At 45.1% G+C, this 24927-nt stretch overlaps 1 protein-coding gene across 5 annotated transcripts in view, besides 2 other annotated features; it reads right to left on the bottom strand.

The window, feature by feature from the left end:
* The window catches only part of LOC124906010 (uncharacterized), a 37651-nt gene that overhangs the window by 10727 nt on the left and 1997 nt on the right, over positions 1-24927 (bottom strand). For 2 of the 5 annotated variants that reach the window (XR_007086331.1, XR_007086329.1), the window contains one exon: positions 20558-20666. The exons of 1 other annotated variant lie outside the window; for it this stretch is intronic. Coding sequence is in view for 1 of the 4 variants with exons in the window: in XM_047446574.1 (XP_047302530.1) it covers positions 24815-24819 (5 nt within the window). In the remaining 3 variants the exon portion in view is untranslated. Of the gene's footprint in view, positions 1-20557; positions 20667-24473; positions 24820-24927 lie in introns of those variants that run through there. 2 more of the 5 variants (XR_007086328.1, XM_047446574.1) reach the window with 2 other exon arrangements.
* Positions 282-331: a silencer, noted in NCBI's record as "silent region_11509". NCBI's record gives its function as "represses an Ori minimal core promoter by ATAC-STARR-seq in GM12878 lymphoblastoid cells {active_cell/tissue: GM12878}" and the evidence as "EXISTENCE:reporter gene assay evidence [ECO:0000049][PMID:35858748]".
* Positions 802-931: an enhancer, noted in NCBI's record as "active region_15803". NCBI's record gives its function as "activates an Ori minimal core promoter by ATAC-STARR-seq in GM12878 lymphoblastoid cells {active_cell/tissue: GM12878}" and the evidence as "EXISTENCE:reporter gene assay evidence [ECO:0000049][PMID:35858748]".

A 24927-nucleotide genomic window follows, 5' to 3' on the forward strand; every position in this document is an offset into this window, starting at 1 on the left:
TCAGACACCCTTTGACCAAAGTTCCCAGGAGTCATACCAGACAAAAATCTTCCTAAGATTTGAGGATTCATGATTCCTTTTAAAAGCAGACAGAGGTAGGGTTAAAAAAATAATAATAATAATAAGGGGTAGCTAGTACTAACCCTCCCTCCCCAATCAAACTCCGCATGGGGCTTTCTTCCTCTACCTGTCTGACAGGGGAAAGTGGGCAGGGGCAAACCTCCTCCCAAATTCCCCTTCTGAGAAGGGGTAGGAGGTGGGGTGCTTGTCCGTCACAGGTACACATTGTGTTTCCATCTACATGCACCATGCCATGCCCCCACTGCTTGTAGACAAAAAGGAATGAGTCAAATAACTGTCAAGTGACTCAACACTTGACAGGCTGTGTGGCCATTATGTGGGTCCCTTCCATACTGGCTCCTGGTGACTGAAGCCAGCCTCAGTTTTGTCCTCTGTGATGTGAGGACTTGAGCAAGAACCTTGCCAAAGCTCCCCTAGCCAGGATACTCTACAATTGCACACCCCTGGCTTCAGGCCTCCCCAGGGAACTTTACCTCCTGGTGAGAAGGGGTTGTGGGCCAAGATCTGCTGGCAGCAGAGCTCCCCAGCATGGGCCATTAATCCACATGGGGACAGTTAGCATAACTGAAATTTAATCAAATAAATGGCTAAAACTTAATTGTTAAGTGGGAGTTTGCCTGTGCCATCTCACAGATGGCATGCTCCCTAATCCTACAGCTTACTGCACGGCTAGACACCATCCGAGGGACAGGGTAAGACCGAGACAGCTCCTGCTCACCTCCCAGTTGGCCCCACACCATGCACACTCAGGTCCTGGTGAGGCCACTTGTCACCAGAAGGCCCATTATGCTAACATGCAACTAAGATAAAATGGATAACTCTTAAGGGGGCAAAAGATCCCTCGTGGGAAAGGCTCATGGTAAGAGAACGCACCTCCCTGGAAACAGATGTCTTGGTCCTATAACACAAATTGCAGTATCACATCCCCAAAACACAAGCCCTCCCATAAATCATTCAGGGGAGCCTGTTTCGTTTTCCTGTTCTGATGAAAGTGACCTGCATGTGGGGCTCAAGGCCAAAAGCACTGCCACACTCGAGCAACTCCACACTTCCCCACGGCTTACTGTAAAGATGCTGACCAAAACCACCAGGGCTGGAACCGCTGCCCTGCCCAACCTGTAGAAGTTGGCATTCCCCAGGGTTCTGCCCACAGGCTGAGCCCCTGCCCTTCCCCCTCCTCCTTTGCCAATCCTACCAAGTGCTCAATGCCCACCCACGTTGGTCTCCTTTCTCCCACCTTTCTTGGATCATCTCACACAGAGTTGGGGGCTCCAGGTCCCATTTTTTATCTTCTATAGTGCCCAGTCTATGGCTCTGGTTTGGGCATTCTCTCTGACTCTAACTTGCGTTGTTTGTTTCACACAAACATGTTCTCTCTCCACATTGTATTTTCTGTAGTCAACAAAAATTCACCAACTGTAAGTGCGCAATTGAATGAGTTTTGTCAACCATATACAACCATATGACCACCAGCACAGTGATGTGTAGAACACTGACATTATCTCTCACCTGTTTGCCATCAATCCCCTATCCAGGCCCCATGGCTGTTGGGAATCTCTGATGTGTCTTCTATCACTATTGTTTTGCCTTGTCTAGAGTTTTGCATTTTGCAATCATTCAGAATGTAGTCTTTGTGGTTGGCTTCTTTCACATAGCATATTCCTTGAGATTCATCCACATTGTTGCATGCATCTCAACACATCATATGGTTGCATGCATAAAGTACTTCAGTACTTCAGCTCTTTTTAGAGCTGAGTAATATTCCAGTGTATGGATAGATCACAATTTGTTTACCCATTCATCACTTGATGGGTATTTCAGTTATTTCCAGTTTTCCTTAACATAACAAAATGCCACTGTGAACATTTAAATACAAGTCTTTGTGTGGATGTATGTTCTCATTTCCCCTGGGAATATAGCTAGCAGATAAATTGCTGAGTCATACGGTCAGTGCATATTTAACTACATAAGAAATCACTAAAGTACTTCCCAAAGTGGCTGTGTCATCTTGCATTTCTAGTGAATGAGAGTTCCAGTTGCTCCACATCTTGGTCAGTGCCTGTTATTGTTGGTCTTTTTAATTTTGATCATTCGAGTGCATATGTAGTGATATCTCCTTGTGGTTTTAATTTGCATTTCCCTAATGACTAATGATGTTCAGCATCTTTCCATGTGTTTATTTGCCATGCCTTCTTTGGTGGAATGTCTGTTCAAATCTTTCGCTCATTTTCATTGTGTTGCATTGATTTCTTACTATTGACTTTTGAGAGTGCTTTATTTATTCCGGATACAAGTTCTTTATCAGATGTATTTTTTGCAAAAACTTTCTCCCAGTCTGTCTTGTCTTTTTACTTTATTAACAGTGTCTTTCGAAGAGCAAAAGTTTTAAACTTCGATAATGCCTGATTTATCAATTTTTTATTTAATAGTTTGGTTTGTGTGTGCATGTGTGTCCTATTTAAAAATTATTTCTCAGGCCGGGCACGGTGGCTCACGCCTGTAATCCCAACACTTTGGGAGGCCGAGGCTGGCGGATCACCTGAGGTCGGGAGTTTCAGACCAGCCTGACCAACATGGAGAAACCCCGTCTCTACTAAAAATACAAAATTAGCTAGGCATGGTGGCACATGTCTGTAATCCCAGCTACTCAGGAGGCTGAGGCAGGAGAATCGCTTGAACCCGGGAGGCAGAGCTTGCAGTGAGCCAAGATCGTGCCATTGCCCTCCAGTGTGGGCAATAAGAGCAAAACTCCATCTCAAAAAAAAAAAAGCATTTCTCTAATGCAAGGTCACATCGATTTTCTCCATGTTTTCTTTTATAGTTGTTGCCCTGCATTTAGATCTGTGATCCACTTTAAGTTAACTTTTGTGTGTGGTGTGACTTGTAGGTTGAAGTTCTTTTTTTGCATATAAATTCTAATTATTCCAGCTCCTTTGATGAAAAGATTGCCCTTTCCCCCATTAAACTGCTTGTGCATCTTTGTCAAAATTCAGTTAATCTTATATGCATGGGTCTATCTCTGGACTTTGTTCTATTGATCCTGTCTGTCTGTACACTAACACCACAAGTTTTGAAGTCAGATAGCACTGTATAAGTCCTCCAAATGTGTTTTTCTTTTTCAAAATTGCTTTAACTATTTTAGGCATTTGCATTTCCACATACATTTTAGAATCAGTTTGTCAATTTCAACAAAAAAAGCCTGCTGGGATTTTGATTGGATTTGCATTGACTATTGATCAATTTCTCTCCCTGTTATGTTTTAAGCTCCTGGAGGACAAGGAACCTATCTTGCATTTCCCCATGGTTCCTGAGCCATAGTAAACTATGTGCTTATCTCTGGCAATGCGGCTGTGATTGGGGGCGGGGAGGGTGAAAGCCAAGCGAGAGAGGGTAAAGCAGAAGGCAAGGAATGGTGTAGAGTCACAGGCAGACGTGAGGATGATGAATGCGAACTCTTGGCTGGTGTCATGTATTCTGGCAGTGGCACAAGGAAGTGGTGACTCGGGAGAGGCCAGTTTTCTTCTCATAGCCAAGGTCACTGTTTCACAATCAGGGAAAGTTGCAAGATCCCCAGAACTTGAGATTTCTAGGACAAGCTAGGGTTCCTAGAGTCTGGGATCTGGTGAACAATCGCCAAAGAATAGAATGGAAGTTGATTTCATGTCTGTCTGACTTTAGCTTCCTTCTAGAAAGAGCTAGAAAGGTCTCAGAGATCATCTAGTCCACATTTTATAGATGAGCAAAACAAGAACTGGAAAGACTGAGGTCACAGAGTTAAACAGTGAATTGGTAGCACCCTAAGACTACGAAAAAAATCAGGTCTTCTGTCCTCAAGGCTGTTGACCTTTTGGCTACATCACATCTCCCCCCACTTTTTTTTTTTTTTAGTAATGTTTGTCCTCTCCTGTCTGTCACCAGAGCCATTTACGTCACAGAACTGGAGCTCTTAGAAGTCAATCAGTTGGCTGTGCCAGAAAGTCAGAATTTGGTCTTCAAGTCCCCCCGATGCCTCCTCCTTTCCTGTGCATCTATCAACACAAGACATTATTAAGAAAGCTTAGTGACTTCTCATCAAAATCCCCTCTATAACCAGACTCCCTTTCCCTGCCATTTGCTTCAAGCCAGCTTTGGCCTTCCCAGGTATTTTGGTGAGATGGGATGGGCTATAAACCAGAAATCAGGGACATGGTTTTTAAACCACCTATTCCTTACTCATCAGGCAAATCACTGAACTTCTCCACCCATGGTTTTCTCTCTCAAATGAGGACGGTAATACTCACCCTATCTGCTTGAAGGCTTATAAGAACACAGTGAAAATAGAGCAGAAGTCCCCTCCAATGCCTACAAGGTGGCATATAATGGAAGATACAGGGAAGAAGATAACACACTCCAGAAACAAACTTTTTCTGAAACCTCACTGCCAGAAGCAGGAATTACAAAGGAGATTTATGGGTACATTGTCAGGCCTCTGAGCCCAACCTAAGCCATCATATCCCCTGTGACCTGCATGTATACATCCAGATGGCCTGAAGTAACTGAAGAATCACAAAAGAAGTGAAAATGACTTGTTCCTGCCTTAACTGATGACATTACCTTGTGAAATTCCTTCTCCTGGCTCATCCTGGCTCAAAAGCTCCCCCACTGAGCACCTTGTGACCCCCGCCCCTGCCCGCCAGAGAACAACCCCCTTTGACTGTAATTTTCCATCACCTTCCCAAATCCTATAAAATGGCCCCACCCCTATCTCCCTTCACTGACTCTCTTTTCAGACTCAGCCCGCCTGCACCCAGGTGAAATAAACAGCTTTATTGCTCACACAAAGCCTGTTTGGTGGTCTCTTCACAGGGACATGCATGAAATTTGGTGCCGTGACTCGGATCGGGGGACCTCCCTTGGGAGATCAATCCCCTGTCCTCCTGCTCTTTGCTCCATGAGAAAGATCCACCTACGACCTCAGGTCCTCAGACCGACCAGCCGAAGAAACATCTCACCAATTTCAAATCCGGTAAGCGGCCTCTTTTTACTCTCTTCTCCAACCTCCCTCACTATCCCTCAACCTCTTTCTCCTTTCAATCTTGGCGCCACACTTCAATCTCTCCCTTCTCTTAATTTCAATTCCTTTCATTTTCTGGTAGAGACAAAAGAGACATGTTTTATCCGTGAACCCAAAACTCCGGCGCCAGTCACGGACTGGGAAGGCAGCCTTCCCTTGATGTTTAATCATTGCAGGGACGCCTCTCTGATTATATACCCACGTTTCAAGGGTGTCAGACCACGCAGGGACGCCTGCCTTGGTCCTTCACCCTTAGCGGCAAGTCCCGCTTTCCTGGGGCAGGGGCAAGTACCCCAACCCCTTCTCCTTCAACCTCAGCAGCAAGTCCCGCTTTCCTGGGGCAGGGGCAAGTACCCCTCAACCCCTTCTCCTTCACCCTCAGCAGCAAGTCCCGCTTTCCTGGGGCAGGGGCAAGTACCCCTCAACCCCTTCTCCTTCACGCTCAGTGGCAAGTCCCACTTTCCTGAGGCAGGGGCAAGTACCCCTCAACCCCTTCTCCTTCACCCTCAGCGGCAAGTCCCGCTTTCCTGGGGCAGGGGCAACTACCCCTCAACCCCTTCTCCTTCACCCTCAGCGGCAAGTCCTGCTTTCCTGAGGCAGGGGCAACTACCCCTCAACCCCTTCTCCTTCACCCTCAGCGGCAAGTCCCGCTTTCCTAGGGGGCAAGAAACCCCCAATCGCTTATTTCCACACCCCAGCCTCTTATCTCTGCACCCCAATCCCTTATTTCCACACCCTGACCTCTTATCTCTGTGCCCCAATCCCTTATTTCTGTGCCCCAACCCCTTCTCTGCTTTTCTGGAGGGCAAGAACCCCCCACCCCTTCTCTGTGTCTCTACTTTTTTCTGGGCTTGCCTCCTTCACTATGGGTAAGCTTCCACCTTCCATTCCTCCTTTTTCTCCCTTAGCCTGTGTTCTCAAAAACTTAAAACCTCTTCAACTCACACCTGACCTAAAACCTAAATGCCTTATTTTCTTCTGCAATGCCGCTTGACTCCAATACAAGCTCGACAGTAGTTCCAAATAGCCGGAAAACGGCACTTTCAATTTTTCCATCCTACAATATCTAAATAATTCTTGTCGTAAAAGGGGCAAATGGTCTGAGGTGCCTGACGTCCAGGCATTCCTTTACACATCAGTCCCTTCCTAGTCTCTGCCCAGTGCAACTTGTCCCAAATCTTCCTTCTTTCCTTCCCGCCTGTCCCCTCAGTCCCAACCCCAAGTGTCGCTGAGTCTTTCTAATCTTCCTTTTCTACAGACCCATGTGACCTCTCCCCTCCTCACCAGCCCAAGCTAGGTCCCAATTCTTCCTCAGCCTCCGCTCTTGCACCCTGTAATCTTTTTATCGCCTCCCCTCCTCACACCTGGTCAGGCTTACAGTTTCGTTCCGTGACTAGCCCTCCCCCACCTGCCCAGCAATTCACTCTTAAAAAGGTGGCTGGAGCCAAAGGTATAGTCAAGGTTAATGCTCCTTTTTCCTTATCCCAAATCAGATAGCGTTTAGGCTCTTTTTCATCAAATATAAAAATCCAGCCCAGTTCATGGCTTGTTTGGCAGCAACCCTGAGATACTTTACAGCCCTAGACCCTAAAAGGTCAAGTGCCATCTTATTCTCAATATACATTTTATTACCCAATCTGCTCCCGACATTAAATAAAACTCCAAAAATTAAATTCCGGCCCTCAAACCCCACAACAGGATTTAATTAACCTCGCCTTCAAGGTGTACAATAATAGAAAAAAGTTGCAATTCCTTGCCCCCACTGTGAGACAAACCCCAGCCACATCTCCAGCACACAAGAACTTCCAAACGCCTGAACTGAGTTCCTCCAGAACCTCCTTCCCCAGGAGCTTGCTACAAGTGCCAGAAATCTGACCACCAGGCCAAGGAATGCCTGTAGCCCAGGATTCCTTCTAAGCTGTGTCCCATCTGTGCGGGACCCCACTGGAAACTGGACTGTTCAACTCACCTGGCAGCCACTCCCAGAGCCCCTGGAACTCTGGCCCAAGGCTCTCTGACTGACTCCTTCTCGGCTTAGCGGCTGAAGACTGTTGCTGCCCGATCGCCTCGGAAGCCCCGTAGACCATCACGGACGCCGAGCTTCCAGTAACTCACAGTGAAAGGTAAGCCCGTCCCCTTCTTAATCAATACGGAGGCTACCCACTCCACATTACCTTCTTTTCAAGGGCCTGTTTCCCTTGCCTCCATAACTGTTGTGGGTATTGACAGCCAGGCTTCTAAACCTCTTAATACTCCCCAACTCTGGTGCCAACTTAGACAATACTCTTTTAAGCACTCTTTTTTAGTTATCCCCACCTGCCCAGTTCCCTTATTAGGCCGAGATATTTTAACCAAATTATCTGCTTCCCTGACTATTCCTGGACTACAGCTGCATCTCATTGCTGCCCTTCTTCCCAATCCAAAGCCTCCTTTGCGTCCTCCTCTTGTATTCCCCCACCTTAACCCACAAGTATAAGAGACCTCTACTCCCTCCTTGGCGACTGATCATGCACCCCTTACCATCTCATTAAAACCTAATCACCCTTACCCCACTCAACGCCAATATCCTATCCCACAGCACGCTTTAAAAGGATTAAAGCCTGTGATCACTCGCCTGCTACAGCACCGGCTTCTAAAACCTATAAACTCCTTACCATTCCCCCATTTTACCTGTCCTAAAACCAGACAAGGTTTACAAGTTAGTTCAGAATCTGCGCCTTATCAACCAAATTGTTTTGCCTATCCACCCCGTGATGCCAAACCCATATACTCTCCTATCCTCAATACCTCCCTCTACTACCCATTATTCTGTTCTGGATCTCAAACATGCTTTCTTTACTATTCCTTTGCACCCTTCATCCCAGCCTCTCTTTGCCTTCACTTAGACTGACCCTGACACCCATTTGGCTTAGCAAATTACCTGGGCTGTACTGCCGCAAGGCTTCACAGACAGCCCCCATTACTTCAGTCAAGCCCAAATTTCATCCTCATCTGTTACCTATCTCGGCATAATTCTCATAAAAACACACATGCTCTCCCTGCTGATCGTGTCCGATTAATCTCCCAAACCTCAATCCCTTACAAAAGAACAACTCCTTTCCTTCCTAGGCATGGTTAGTGCAGTCAGAATTCTTACACAAGAGCCAGGACCACACCGTGTAGCCTTTCTGTCCAAACAACTTGACCTTACTGTTTTAGCCTAGCCCTCATGTCTGCGTGCAGCGGCTGCCACTGCTTTAATACTGTTAGAGGCCCTAAAAATCACAAACTATGCTCAACTCACTCTCTATAGCTCTCATAATTTCCAAAATCTATTTTCTTCCTCACACCTGACACATACACTTTCTGCTCCCCGGCTCCTTCAGCTGTACTCACTCTTTGTTGAGTCTCCCACAATTACCATTGTTCCTGGCCCGGACTTCAATCCGGCCTCCCACATTATTCCGGATACCACACCTGACCCTCATGACTGTATCTCTCTGATCCACCTGATATTCACCCCATTTCCCCATATTTCCTTCTTTCCTGTTCCTCACCCTGATCACGCTTGCCTCATGCTATCCCCAAACTGCCATTCTTAACTCTTGAAGTAAATGAATAATCTTTGCTGGCAGGGCTATGCTGAATGTCCTTAGGCACTCTCTAATCAGATGTCCTGAGTCGTCCCAATTCTTAGACCTTTTATACCTTTTTTTTTCCTTCTCTTATTCCATTTAGTTTTTCAATTCATACAAAACCGTATCCAGGCCATCACCAATAATTCTACACGACAAATGTTTCTTCTAACAACCCCACAATATCACCCCTTACCACAAAATCTTCCTTCAGCTTAATCTCTCCCACGTTAGGTTCCCACACTGCCCCTAATCCCGTTGAAGCAGCCCTGAGAAACATCGCCCATTCTCTCTCCATACCACCCCCCAAAAATTTTCGCCACTTCAACACTATTTTGTTTTATTTGTCTTATTAATATAAGAAGGCAGGAATGTCAGGCCTCTGAGCCCAGGCCAGGCCATCGCATCCCCTGTGACTTGCACGTATACATCCAGATGGCCTGAAGTAACTGAAGATCCACAAAAGAAGTAAAAACAGCCTTAACTGATGACATTCCACCATTGTGATTTGTTCCTGCCCCACCCTAACTGATCAATGTACTTTGTAATCTCCCCCACCCTTAAGAAGGTACTTTGTAGTCTCCCCCACCCTTAAGAAGGTTCTTTGTAATTCTCCCCACCCTTGAGAATGTACTTTGTGAGATCCACCCCTGCCCACCAGAGAACAACCCCCTTTGACTAATTTTCCATTACCTTCCCAAATCCTATAAAATGGCCCCACCCCTATCTCCCTTCACTGACTCTCTTTTCTTACTCAGCCCGCCTGCACCCAGGTGAAATAAACAGCCATGTTGCTCACACAAAGCCTGTTTGGTGGTCTCTTCACACGGAGGTGCATGAAAGGGTGGACATCCTAACTTTCTACTGATTGCTCCATCTCCATTTCTCTTTCTAGAAATGGAGGCTTCCCAGAAAGTGTTAAGCTCACCTTTGCTCTGGTCTTGGAAGCCCCTTTCACTCCCAAATCACTGCACACAGCTCAAGTCCTAAACTTGCAACACTTTTCCTCTACTTCCCAAGTCAGTCCAGCCAGTGTCCTGGCCCATCTCTTGATAGACATCCAATTGCACCCCTGATTTTCCTGTTCAGTGGCTGACTTAGACACCCCAGGGCTAAATTCCCCCAGAAGCCAGAAGTTGTTTGTTCATTTAACAGAGTTTTGCACCCACCTAAGTATTATTAAGTGGGAAAGATCCATAAAAGCAATCAGTGATCAATGCTTCATATCAAGCACTGACCATTCTAAAAACTCATGGACTTCAAACTCTATCTAGTTCCCAGAGACATGTTCCTTTTGCTTGCTTTTCTCTCCTCTGAAAGGAAAGCCTGCGTTTTTGCTGAGACTGAACACTGCTCACGTGGTGAAAGCCTTCTTTTTGGTGATGCAGGATTCAACTCTGGTTCCTGGAAGACTCAAAACTCAGTGAGCCTGGAACTGACCCTAGGCTCTGCTTATCTCTCCTGCTTTGAGCAATTTAATTAGTAAATTAAGATAATACCATTGTTTTTCTAACCACAAATGGCTTTAAAAAGATCCATGTCGCTAATGGGTAGCTGAATCTCCCTCTAGCCACCTCCCCCACCCACGTCCTAATCTTCCCACCTCCCCCCTCCAAGGAGAACCATACTGTCTTGTCTTTGAGTGAAAGTGCCACATTTCCATGCAAATTGAGTGTCCAGAGTGAATGGGGTGGGGGCGGTGCCCGGACTTTCTCCATGGCTGAGTTGCTGGAGTATTTGCATAATAAAATGCGTTAACAGCTTGGAATTAATCATTGCTGTTACCCTGAATGGCCTAGGAACTATTTTCCAGGCCCTCTTCTGTGAAAACTATGGATGCCATTTGTAGGTAATGGAGCCTCTGCATATTTTTCTAATTATCACTACTACATTTTTCTCTGTCTCCAAAATATGCCCCCATCCTAGAATATCATAAACTGTTGTAGATAACTGGGAATTTCACATGATATGAAAATTCTCAAATGCTCAGTAATTTACACTACACATGCCTTTATGCATAAGGATGATGTTGGAATAGGATGAGCAAGGTTTGCACAATAGAGTGGACAGAGTAATGACTCTAGTTTGAGTCTTCTTCTATGGTTGATTTAGGGCTAAAACTTGGTTCCCTCTGCTGTAAAAAAGGGATGTGGTAGGTGGCCTTCTAAAATGGTCCCATTCTCAGCCGGGAGCATTGGTTTCACACCTCTAATCACAGCATTTTGGGAGGCAAAGGAGGTCAGGAGTTGGAGACCAGCCTGGCCAACATGGTGAAATCCCATCTCTACTAAAAATGCAAAAATTATCTGGGCATGGCGATGGGTGCCTATAATCCTAGCTAGTCGAGAGGCCAAGTCAGGAGAATTGCTTGAACCTGGAAGGCGGAGATTGCAGTGAGCCCAGATCCCACCACTATACTCTAGCCTGGGTGACAGAGCAAAACTGTGTCTCAAAATAAAATAAAATAGCCCCATTCTGGTATCCACACCCTTGTGTAATCCCCTCCCCTTGAATGTAGGCTGGACCTAATGGCTTGCTTTTAGCAAAAAGAATATGGCAAAAGTGATAAGATGTGAATTCCAAGGTCAGGTTACGAAAGTCTGATCAATCTCTCTCTCTCCCTTTTCCTCTCTCTCCCTCTCTGTCAGCTTGTTTAATGAAGCTAGCTTCAATGCTGTGAGCTGCTCTATAGACGCCCATGTAGGAGGAAACTCAAGGGGCCCCCAGCCACTAGCCATTGAGGAACTGAGGCCCTCAATCCAACAACCCACAAGGAACTGAATCCTGCCAACAACCACTGAGTGAGCCTGGAAGCGGATCCTGCCCAGCTGAAACTCGAGAAGATTGTAGCTCTGCTGCCCTGACCACTATTCTAACTGCACCCTTGAGAGAGACCCTCAGCCAGCTAATCTGTACCTGGATTCCTAACCTGGAGAAACTGAAATAGCAACGCATGTTGATGTAAGTGCTAAGTTTGGGAGTAATTTGTTATGTAACAATAAATAACTAATAATACTTATTATTTAGGCAATAAAACCATAGAAAATACTTCTCAGGGATGTTTTCTCCATAAGATAATCAGATTTTAAATCATCAAGTTCTATACAGATGTATATTATCATTTGTTTTCTACCCAGTAAATAGGTTCCTCTCCTAAACACTCCACTTGCTCCCTTTGACCAGCCAGAGGAAGTTCTGCCTTCCTCCAAATGACCCATCAATATATTTGTCTGGAGTTTTTATTTCTGTCACAATTCTGTTTCACCACTTGGGTTTGTTGTGCCTACGCTGTGGGCAGGACCACCTCACAGAAGACAATGGGTGGGCGATGGTGAGAAGTGAGTTGAGGGTGCAAAAGGATACTATATCACGGGACTCCCAAATCACTAAGCCAAAGAAAAAGGTCAAGCTGGGAACTGCTTAGGGCAAACCTGCCTCCCATTCTATTCCTCAAAAAGATAGCTACTAACATAAAAAAAGCTACATACCTCCCTCACAATTTGTCTACAAGGAAATTCCTTGTGGACAAATGACAGACAGATGTCAAAGTCATCCCTCTGCTCACTGAGATAAATGCATATCTGATTGCTTCCCTGGGAAAGGCTAATCAGACACTCAAAAGAATGCAACCATTTGTCTCTTCTGTACCTATGACCTGGAAACCCCCTTCCTGCTGCGAGTTGTCCCACCTTTCCAAACCAAGCCAATGTAAATCTTGCGTATATTGATTGATGTCTAACGTCTCCCTAAAATGTATAAAACCGAGCTGCGCCCCGACCATCTTGGGCACATGTCACTAAGACCTCCTGAGGCTGTGTCATGGGTGTGTTCTTAACCTTGGCAAAATAAACTTTCTAATGCAAGTCGAAACCACAGTGAGATACCATCTCACACCAGTTAGAATGGCGATCATTAAAAAGTCAGGAAACAACAGGTGCTGGAGAGGATGTGGAGAAATAGGAACACTTTTACACGGTTGGTGGGACCGTAAGCTAGATCAACCATTGTGGAAGTCAGTGTGGTGATTCCTCAGGGATCTAGAACTAGAAATGCCATTTGACCCAGCCATCCCATTACTGGGTATATACCCAAAGGATTATAAAACATGCTGCTATAAAGACACATGCACACGTATGTTTATTGTGGCACTATTCACAATAGCAAAGACTTGGAACCAACCCAAATGTCCAACAATGATAGACTGGATTAAGAAAATGTGGCACATATACACCATGGAATACTATGCAGCCGTAAAAAAGGATGAGTTCATGTCCTTTGTAGGGACATAGATGAAGCTGGAAACCATCATTCTCAGCAAACTATGGCAAGGACAAAAAACCAAACACCACATGTTCTCACTCATAGGTGGGAATTGAACAATGAGAACACATGGACGCAGGAAGGGGAACATCACACTCTGGGGCCTGTTGTGGGGTGGGGGGAGGGGGGAGGGATAGCATTGGGAGATATACCTGATGTTAAATGATGAGTTAATGGGTGCAGCACACCAACATGGCACATGTATACATATGTAACAAACCTGCACATTGTGCACATGAACCCTAAAACTTAAAGTATAATAAAAAAAATAAAAAAATAAACTTTCTAAATTAATTGAGACCTGTCTCAGATACTTTTTGGGTTACAAGGGTAAAGGAAGGCTGCCCCCCAAAACTATTCTTACCCAGCTTTTGTCACTGACAAACTCCTACCAGTATAATAGGGATAAGAATCATAATAACAACTACTACCAATTTTTGAGCAACTTCTTTGTGCCAGGAACTTTGCAAATATTCTTTCAGATCCTCACCACAACCCTGGGGAAAAAAATCCAGAGAGTTTAAACCACTTAGTCAATGGTAGGCAGTTAGCACATGTCAGAGCTGAGGTTAGAACAAAACTCCTCTCTCTTGTATTTGCTTATTTCTTATCTTCTAGGGCTGTGTGCCTAAACAAACTATTTTCAATAAAGTTAGAATTTATTGGTTTTGTATGCTTTTTATCCCACTTAACACATTAACATGAATATTTTTCCATGTCATTAAACTTTTTTTGAAAACACTATTTTTAAAGGCTGCATAATATTCCATTGTTGAGTGGATTTGCCCTTCCCTTATTTTTCCAGCCTTTAAGCTGTTTCCAGGTGATTTACTGTCATAAATTATGCTGTGATAAGCATCCTTGTACATGCATCTGTGATCGCATCTCCAATTATTTTCTTAGGCTAGAGCACTAGAGGAGGGACTGCCAGGTCAAGTTAGAAAACGCCTTTAAGTCTCCCGATGCCAGTTGCCAAATTGCTTTCCCGAAAGGTTGTACCAATTCATATTCCCAAGGAGATAAACACTTAACTTTGAAAGGAAAGGGTGTTTTAAAGTGTGAGATAAGCCGGCACCTTGTTTAAAGGAACAACTCCTTGAGTTCCGCACAAAGGCCCTCAGAACCCCTGTGAACCATGGGCTGAGGAAACATTGTTCGGCCTTCCTGACTGGCTGGTTAAATTCCCAACATCCCAGATGTCATTTTACTCATGGTTGTAGGAGGAGATTCAGTGGGGTAAGGGGGGAAATGGAAGCATTTGCATGATAATCAACCTGAAACTTAATAATCATGCTTTTATAAAACGTGTATGGTCCTTTCTTGAGACAGCTTTTCCAGAATTGGATGACCTTCTCCAAGTGGATAAGGATATTTTTCACTGCCAGATCTTAAGCTAGGGCATTGAAATTATTTCTATACACATACACAAAGAGAAGGAGGGAGCTGAGGTGCAAATATTTAGCCACCCAGAAAGAGGAGAAAAGACACCACTACAACTGTAATCCTCTAGATGGTACCTAAGGCCAAAGGAAGATTCAGAACAAATTTTTTTTAATTGTTAAAATTCTCTACCCCAATTTGTTATGCATTGACATAGCCAAAGAACTATTGGCCTATTTTAACCTTTGAACATTTCTATTTTCCTTTGTGAATTGGAAGAGGGAGAGAGGAAAAGAATGTTGAAAAAGACAATGGGTAAAGATGGCAATGGGAGGGAGACAGAAACAGAAGAGGGAGAAAAGGCTATTTTAATTCTCTGTAGTTACTTGGATTTTCACACCATAGGCTAGATATTAAGAAATCAAAGTCCACTTCCCTTACAGTTCAGGTAGGGCTGGGCCTGCGTGGTATGGTTTTTAGAGGTCAAAAAGATTTCTGTATTCTGCCATTATTTGAAATGCCCTGCATCAGTCAGAGAGGCTAACTGCTGTAACAACCCCAATCTCAAAGGCCTAACACAATAAACTTTATTTCTAGTTTATATCAGTTAGATACAGGTTAGCCAGGGGGCCAGGAGTAAAGGAGGACCTGCTCCACACGGTCATTCAGGGACTCAGGGAAATGGGTATTAAACCAAGACCAGGTCATTCTCATCCATCAGATGGACAAAATTTTAAATTTTACAACAAAAATACATGTTTATATCAATTGTGTGATTCAAATAGATTTTAGGAATTATAATACGGCTTCTAAGTGTTTTGTGCCCTCAGAGAATATAGGAAACACCTCATAAGCAAAGCTAGGGGTAGAAGGAGAATGAGGTAAAAGGGAAGACACTTGAGGGAACCACTTGCTTTGCTCCCCAACTCAAAACAGGTTTAGAAGAAAAGGAAAAATGGGTCTAAGCCGTTATAGGCTGTGCTTTATAAAATAGGCTCTTTTAGACTCTACGACCACTCTCAGATCCCTCCCTTCAAGAATAACTCACTTAAATCAGGATATCTAAGAATCCCAGGCATGGAATATCCATGCTCATCTCTTAAAGCTCTTGTTTTCTTGTGGTCACACATTTCTTAGCAGCCCAGTCAGAGCATCCATTTTGGAAGGAAAAGATCTTTTCGGAAGAAAAGTTGCTCCTTCACAGGCATGAGGTAAGGGCTTGGGAGACCGTGTGAGAACCAAGGCAGAGGCCCAGCCACGGTCCCACCTGACTCCTCTGAACCTTCAGCTCCCACCCTAGGACAGGTGAAGGCAGAAGGAGAAGCCTGGGATGAGAAGGTGACTTCAGGGACATCTGGTGCAAGACCAGCTAGACCAGGTCCAAACTAGCTTCTGGGATAGGAAGTGACTTAGTTACACAGGCATAGGGGCTGGGGGAGAAAGCATTTCATCATTTAAATTTCAGTATTTACTTAATAGGGACCCGAAGAGACTTTAAGGGAAGTCAAGTAATGGCCAAGGAAAATCAGGGTTTTCTAGAATCTTTTTATATTTCTTAGTGATGCTGTCACTTGCCCTGGCACCACCTTAACACTAAATTGGTAGGAACTGTCCTTCTTGGGGTGGCCGCCTGGCTGGTTTGCCCAGTGCTTTGCTGGTTTTAAAACTGACAGAAGCCACCTGTTCTCAGGCATACCAGCATGGCTGCCGCCCTAGATTGTCTACATAATTTTGCTGACAGCATCAACTGGGAGCTATTTTAATCAAAAAGACTCGGCCTGGCGCAGTGACTCACACCTGTAATCCCAGCACTTTGGGAAGCCGAGGTGGGTGGATCACCTGAGGTCAGGAGTTCGAGACCAGCCTGGCCAACATGGTGAAACCCCATCTCGACTAAAAATACAAAAAATTAGTTGGGCATGGTGGTGGGCGCCTGTAATCCCAGCTACTCAGGAGGCTGAGGCAGGAGAATCGCTTGAACCCGGGAGGCAGAGGTTGCAGTGAGCCGAGATCGTACCATTGTACTCCAGCTTGGGCAACAAGAGTGAAACTCTGTCAAAAAAAAAAAAAAAAAAAAAAGACAAAGGATTTGGTCTGAACCACTGACCGTCTCACCTAGAGGAGTCACGGTGAGGATAGGACAGGGCTGCTGTCTGTGATTCTGGCACAACGCAGCACTGTCTACTCCATGAGGAGACTGAATTTACATCTTTGGCCTCTCATCACAGACTTGGAAGGGAGCTTGGAGATTATCTAGAGTAACTATCCAGATGGCAAATAAGGAAATTGAGATGGAGAAACCTTAAGGAACTCACCTAAAGCCATGCAGCAGAACTGTCCAGGACCAAGTCTTCTTTTATAATCTAGTGCTCTTTCCAACACACGGCATAGACCCATCACTGCAGTGCCCAAGCAACCAAATTAATGGGCCTCAAGAGATAAACATGGACATCCATCCAAAACCCTATGAGAAACGTTCCCACTAGTCACCACCAGTGGCAAAGCAGAGGATCGCAACAACAGCCACCCCCGGGGAGATTAAATGTGATGGCTAAGAAGCCACACAATACCACTTGGAGCCACCAGGTTCTTCTGGGACTCCACCCCACAACTTCCAACCTCTCCTGTCCAACTGCAGAGCACTAAACCATCCTGTAATCTCTTTCCCTATCCCACCTTCTTGGGTTTACACAAGTCTGAAAAAGAAGGCCAAAAGAGAGGGAAGAGTGGGCATAGGATGCAGTCAGTTAGAGGCACCACAACAGCCTCCTCTGAGAATCTCTTTAAATAAAGTTTATTGGCAACTTCTGAGAAGCTGAGTTAAATACCTTGTTCAAGTTGATTTCATAGAACTGTCATTTCTGTTCTCTGAAAACCAACCTGACACCGAGCAATGACCTCTTCAACCAATGAAACACCTGCTTACCAATGTATTATTTTTTAAGGGAACAGAAAAGGTTTTGATCACGCACAGAAAGGAGCGCTTTTCAGCTAGTAGCATATGGCTCTTGGGAACACAGGGCTTTTAAAATCTCTACTTTTAGGACTCCTCTCATTATTATTTCATCAATTATTTCATTATTGTATCACCTGTGTCATCTGTGTAGATGTAGGTAATTTGGGTTGGTTATTGTTTTAGGAAGCATGTGGAAATTGCTGTCAATGAGTAATATTTCATATTCTCACCCCTCCCAGTTCTCCTTCTGGACTTAGAGCTAGTCACTATTAAGGCAGATGAACGTGGGAGTTAGACAATGAAACCACCCTCTTCACTATTTGAGGGTTGAAAGGCCACTCCAGGTAGTTATAATTGAACCTCAAAGCAGGTGACCTTGCAAAGTTAAAGCATCTGCTCCAATTTACCTCTGCATCTCACTGCCCCCAGACACAAGTTCTGCCGCTCTTCTCTATTCATGGTTCCTGCAAATCTTTTCTGTGCTCTGAGACCCAGCTTGAGATCCTCTCAAGACATGGTGCCAAGCCTCTCCAGCTGACATATTCTCCCTTCCCTGAATTCATATAGCTCTTAAATTAGCACTTAATTACAAAATGTGTTATATTGTGCTGTGTTTGGTGATTGTCTGATTCTTCCCCTTAGAGCACACAGAGTGCCCCATGTGGAGGCAGCATGTTTGATGAGAAAGGCTCAATTAATATTTCTTAAATTAATTAATTAATAAGAGCATGGATTTTTGAGTCAGAAAGACTTGACTTTACCATGTACTAGCTAGATGACCTTTATCGAGCCACTTAACTAGTTTAAGCTCCAATGTCTTTATCTGGAAAATGGCAATAATGCTACATGGCTTGGAGGAATAACTGAAATACACCTCACAGTTGCTCAAGTGGAGAGCATGTTCTTTACCCCTGCCAAGTGCCCACTGAGTAGACATTCATTTATTGACTGTCTAAACCAGTTTGTATTCCAGAGTCCTATTTTTCTTTTTAATAGTGTTCATTCCAAGACATGTCTACCACATTTTTGTTATTTTCACCTATCAATTATGAAAAAGTTTTCAGGAACCAAGACCCAAGTCCCACAACAAAAAGACACAGGTAGGTCAGCATGTAGATGTGTGTTGATGTGCCTTCTTATCTGAAAATAAAAATTCCCCAAACTTAATACAATTTGGGAAATGTTGAGTCACCTGCTGTGGACCTAGTATTGTTCAATTGTCATTTTCCTTGAAACACTTGGTACTGTGTCTTGCAGGTAGTAAGACATAGTGGGGGCCAGGCACGGTGGCTCACAGCTGTAATCCCAGCACTTTGGGAGGCAGAGGCGGGCGGATCATCTGAGGTCAGGTGTTCAAGACCAGCCTGGCCAACGTGTCGAAATCCTGTCTCTACTAAAAAATACAAAAATTAGCTGGGCGTGGTGGCGCACACCAAAAATCATAGCTACTCGGGAGGCTGAGACAGGAGAATCGCTTGAACCTGGGAGGCAGAGGTTGCAGTGAGCCGAGATCACACCACTGCACTCCAATTTAGGCAACAGAGTAAGACTCTGTCTCAAAAATAAAATAAACTAAAATAAAAAGACATAGTGGGTACTCCATTTGTGTTTGTAAACTGAATTATAGCCATGATTCCAAAGTATTGGGAATTTAACTGCCTAGGATGGGATGAAAATGTTTTCAAAAGGCACTTAATTCTCTGCATTCTAAGCTATATTTCAACAAGCAAAACTTCCAAACAGAATCCCAAAAGATGCCCAAAGCTGCAACCAAGACAGCCCCAGGCCAAGAATTGTTAAATGGTGTCCTTTAAACTCTGCCTCGTAAATACTCCCAGCCTAATGACTCAATGCCCCCAAACAGCCCCTGAACTGGTCTGCTAACCCCAATACATGTTAAATTTATGATTTCTAAACAAGATAAAAGACCTGATTGGATTTATTATCTTTAAGAAAAAAAAAAAAAAGCATTCCACTCCTGACCAAGTTGGGACCCTGCGCTGGTTTGTTTGCTACTAGCGCCTACTGGCCAATCACTTAGACAAAACCTGCTTGTAAACTTCCCTGGCGTTTTGGAAGTCACCTCCTTCCCCTGACTGGCCTGCACCTCCTTCTCTCTCACCACAGATTGCTCATGGCAGGTGACTCCTCGGTGATTCAGGGATGCCTCCTGTGCCTCTGCCTGGTGGCTTCGTACCTGGCCACCCTGAGCAGCCGCCTCCCAGACGCCCCTCCTGGGTTCTCTTCCAGTGAGAGTCCTGTAGAATCTAAGAGTGACCTTAGAATTGGTTGGCTCCTGCTACAGATGAGAAAACTAAGACCCAGAGAAGAGAAGAACGTGAACTGAAGGAGCAAGGATTAGAGCCCGGGAGTCTTGGTCCTGAATCCAGTGCCATGCCCAGCAGCCATGTGGCCCGAAGACAACCTCAGCAGCCCCCTCCCTGAGACACTCCTGTCAGCTCACATGGGGAGTAGGAGGAGTTTGCCTTCAAGGCCTGGACCCAACACAGCACCTGGATAGGGTCCCTGCAGCTGCCTTCCTCGCTGCCAGCGCTCCTGCCAGCTCGTCTCATCTCAGCTCACTCCCCGACCTTCCATCCTCTCAAAGTCAGAGTCCTTTCTTCAGGAACCATCAAGGTGAGATGTGCTAAATCTATCTGAGGAGAGGAGACTAAAGACCCCTCCCAGATAATCTGAGAATAATAAAACAACGGCCTACTGAAGGAAAGAGCTTAGCTATCCTGACCAGAACAGCAACCTCAAAAGAGGGCATCTGAATTCGGAGGGGAAGGCAGGGGAGCTGGCCAGCCTCAGGAGTGGCCCAGAGACTCCATTCATCAGTGCCATCAGCTATTGCAAGCTGAATGCAATCATGTAGAACTATGCCTCACTAGCCTGACCCAGCACTCACACCCTGCCCTTCCAAGAAACGGTCTGGCCTGAATTGCTATCACCCCTCCCCCCTCCATGGAAGGGTTAGGACCAGCTCTAGCCTGAGCACTGCAAGAGCTACCCTCCATTCCCACACTCACCCCACAACATCCAACACACTCCTGCCTAGCCCTCAGCATGTGTCTAAACCCAGGCATGGGCATGACCAGAAAGGACAAGATTGAAAACCCCAAGGGAAGTCTGCAGAATGAGTCACAATACCTGCATCCTAATCCACGCCTCTTCTAACCGGTTCTGTGGCCTCCAACAAACCCCCGGACTGCTCTCAGCCTCAGTTTACTTCTCTGAGAAATTAGGGCAATAGCAATACCTGGGTGGCATAGAGACAAAATGAGAAAATAAAAACTCTTCAAACTTAAAAGTATTTGTCAAAGCTATGACTATCTCCTTGCATTACTAGTAATAATATAGTCACTTCCTTGCCCTCCACCCAGATATTTACTCAGAATTTTCAGAGAATTCCCCAAATTTACCAAGCACCTTGGAAGAATGAGCTTCTCTTGCTGCTCAAATTCCCTTGTAGTTAATCCCAGCTTGTGCCCATCGATTTTCCTTAATAAGATTAAAGGGGAAGTTTCGACCAGGTCATCTCTCAGGACTCAGGAAACAAAACCGTTTGGTAAAAAATAAATTCCAGTCATCTGCCTCTGTCACCAGCAAATATATGCTCAGTGCTACCTGAGAGCAAATCAGTGCTGAATACTTGGCTCCTCTGCACTGGTTTCAGAATGTAATTTCATTTCTGAAGTCCCTTTACTTTTGAGGCCAGTTCTTGAGCTTCTGGTTCTAAAGCCTGATGACACTTTAGCCCAGTGGTTCACACCTGTACTCCTACAGTTTGGGAGGCTGAGGCATGAGGATCCCTTGAGCCCAAGAGTTCGAGGCCAGCCTGGGCAACATACTGAGACCCCCATCTCTACAAAAAATTAGCCGGGTGTGGTGGCTATCCCCAGCTACTGGGGAGGCTGAGGTGGGAGGATTGCTTGAGCCCAGGAGGATGAGGCTGCAGTGAGCCACGATCATACGACTGCATTCCAGCCTGGGTGACAGAGCAAGACCCTGTCTTAAAAATAAAATAAAACAGAGCCTCATGGCAACAAACAAAACATGTGCCCATGCTCTGCTTTATCTCAGTGTTCACACCTTGCATTCCAGCCTTTTTCATCTAAGGACTTTAACCTTCGGGACCGAACAGAGAAATCTACCGGCAGGGGCTGGGTTGTAACTCCACTATCTTGTTGCTTAAAGGGAAAAAAGAGAGGAGTCCATTCTGAAAAAACAAGGAATGACCATACAACAAATTAATACAAAGTTTAGTCTTCTTGTCTCTGCCAGCCTTAGTCCCTTTTTTTTTTTTTTTTTTTTTTTGAGACTGAGGTCTCGCTCTGTCATCCAAGCTGGAGCATAGTGGCACAATCAATCATAGCTCACTGCAGCCTCAAAGTCTTCAGCTCAAGCAAGTAGCTAAGATTACAATCACATGCTACCATGCCTGGCTCCAAGTCCAAGTTTGAAAGCCAGCTTTTCCATGTTTCCTAACAGGCAGTATGGACAACATGAAACTTTTAGAATGATAAAAGTAGATGTCACAAACTCACAGTAAAGAGCTGGGCCCCAAGGTAGGGAGCATTTTACCTTTGTTGGGAATGCTCCCATCATTTTAAAAGCCCCTATTTCTTCTACTTCCGAAAGGCTTAAAAATTATTCAAAAGTGAGAATATAATTAGAGGAAGCAGCAACCACGGAATTTGATGACTTTTCCCAATCTCCTCCTCAAAAGAAACCTTCCACTAAAGTAAATAGCTCTAAGGGCGCAGTTCATCAAGAAAGCACTCATATCAACCCCCGGCCTTAAAATAGACATAAATATTAGGTCAGTTTCATAGTCATTTATCCCACTCTGGGGATAAAACACATAAATAAATTGGAAATGGGCACTTCTCCCACCCTAGGGATATGATCCTGCCCCGGGGCTCCAGGGCTGCTGCCATGCAGTAAAAGAAAGCCATCTCTTCTCTGGCTGATACTGGGACAGTTTCCCTGCAGGAGTCTCAGGCCCCAGAGAATGCCTCTCTTCCCAGCACTAAGGTATGCGACCCCTTGGGCAGAGCACCACCTGGACCTCTCCCAGAGACACCTTGTTCCTTTTCATGATGTACTGTTGTGTCTTCCACACCAGCCCCTGTCCTTTACCCTTGGGCCCTCTCTTCTTCCTTTGCCTCCTTTTTTGCTTTTGTTTGTTCGGTTGTTGTTTTCTATTTGGGTTTGTTTGCTTCCTTTTTTTTTTTTTTTTTTTTTTCTTGAGACAGAGTCTCACTCTTGTCACCCAGGCTGGACTGCAGTAGTGCAATCTCGGCTCACTGCAACCTCCGCCTCCCAGGTTCAAGCGATTCTCGTGCCTCAGCCTCCCAAGTAGCTGGGATTACAGGCATGTGCTGCCACGTCCCAGTTAATTTTGGTATTTTCAGTAGAGATAGGGTTTCACCATGTTGGCCAGGCTGGTCTTGAACTCCTGTCCTCAAGTGACCTTGGCCTCCCAAAGTGCTGAGATTACAGGCATGAGTCACTGCGCCTGGCCTGTTTGCTTTCTTTTAACAGTCTGTTTTAATTGTGTTAATATATATATATAATGTACCATTTACCATTTTAATCATTTGTGAGTATACACTTCAGTGGCATTAAGTACGTTCACAATGCTGTGTCCTCATCCCACCGTCTACCTCCAACACTTTTTCATCATCCCCAGCATAAATTCCCTACCCGTTAAACAGTAGCTCCCCTTCCCCATCCCCTCATTAATCCCTTAGTAATCTCTATTCCATTTTCTGTCTCTATGAATTTACCCAGTATAGGTACCTCATGGAAGTGGAATCATATAATATTGCTCCTTTTATATCTGGCATATCTCATTTAGCACAATGTATGTGAGGTCCATCCATGTTGTAGCATATGTCAAAATTTCATTTATTTTTATGGCTGAATATTATTCCACTGTGTGTATAGCTCACATTTTGTTTATCCATTCATCTCTTCTTTTCTTTTTTTTTTTTTTTTTTCCTGAGACAGATTTTCCCTCTGTCACCCAGGCTGGAGTGCAATGGTATGATCTCAGCTCACTGCAACCTCCGCCTCCCGGGCTTAAGTGATTCTCGTGCCTCAGCCTCCTGAGTAGCTGGAATTACAGGCATGCACCGCCACGCCCGGCTAATTTTTATATTTTTAGTAGAGACGGGGTTTCACCATGTTGGCCAGGCTGGTCTTGAACTCCTGGTGTCAAGTGATCTGCCCGCCTCGGCCTCCTGAAGTGCTTGGGATTACAGGCATGAGCGGCCACGCCGGGCCTCATTCATCTTTTTATGGATGCTTGGGTTGTTTCTACTTTGCGTTTATTGTGACTAATACTGCTATGAACGTGAGTGTATAGAAATCTGCTTAAATCCCTGATTTCCATTCTTTTGGCTATACACCTGGGAGTGGAATTTCAGGATCGTATGGTAAGTGTGCAACTTTTTGAGAAACTGCCAAACTGTTTTCCACAGTGATTCCACCATTTGACATTCCCACCAGCAATGCATGCGGTCTCCATCTTCTCTACATTCTAACTAACACTTGTTATTTTCTGTTTTTGTTTGTTTGTTTTTAATAGCCATTCTAGTAGGCATGAAGTGGTGTTTGCCTGCTTTTTTTGATGGAGGTGGAGGAATAGGGTGGAATTGGTCCTTAACCATCAATTAAGCTGGGGGCCTTAGACCTCTGTGAATTGGCTGTGACAATAGCTAAAGGAGGCTGCTACCTCATACTGAAGAGATGTTTCCTAAGTTTGTCACCGGAGAGGGCACCGAACCAACTTATTGTCTTGGAGGGAAGAAGCAGCAAGGCAGAAGACTTGAACTTCTCAGAGAAAAAAACAGTCTACAGACTTCATTTTATGCTGTCCTCACACACTACTGAAAGCTCTACCCTGGGGACCTGGCTTGACTTCTAACTAGCTGTGTTATCTCAGGAGAGCTCCCAGCTGCTCTGAGTCTCAGTCTCTCAATCAGTGAAATGGAGGCAATAGCACCTGCCTGGCTGCATCGCCCCACAGTGCTGCAATGAGCATCCAACGAGAGAAAGCTTGTCACCTGTGTTGCAAACTAAGTTACACAAATGCAGGCAGTAGCAGCTAGAAGAAAATGGTTGGGAATCTGAAAAGAATTAAAGCCCCCCATGAATTTCTTCTCACGCCTCCTCCAAAAGCCAGGGACTGCTTCACCCCGCCTCCAGGACTGCTGCTCCAGCATTTCCGGCAGCTGCTGACAGAATGTATGTTGCTTCTGATCCCCCGTGGCACAGTCAAGCCCAGATGGAGCAAGGGCCTCCCTCAGAGAGAGGCACCCAGGGCTCACCCTTCAAAGGAAGCACTTGGAGGGATGGCTTCTCAAAGGTCACACAGGAAACTGAAGTTAAAGCCTGGATCTAAACTATAGGAGAAATAGGAGCATTTGAATCCACACATTTGAATGTGGTAATTAGTGATCCCACTCCCCCGACCCATCCCCAATCTTCTGCCCATCTGAGAGCGTTTAGAT

This window comes from Homo sapiens, chromosome 2, assembly GCF_000001405.40.
Source record: "Homo sapiens chromosome 2, GRCh38.p14 Primary Assembly".
NCBI lineage: Eukaryota > Metazoa > Chordata > Mammalia > Primates > Hominidae > Homo > Homo sapiens.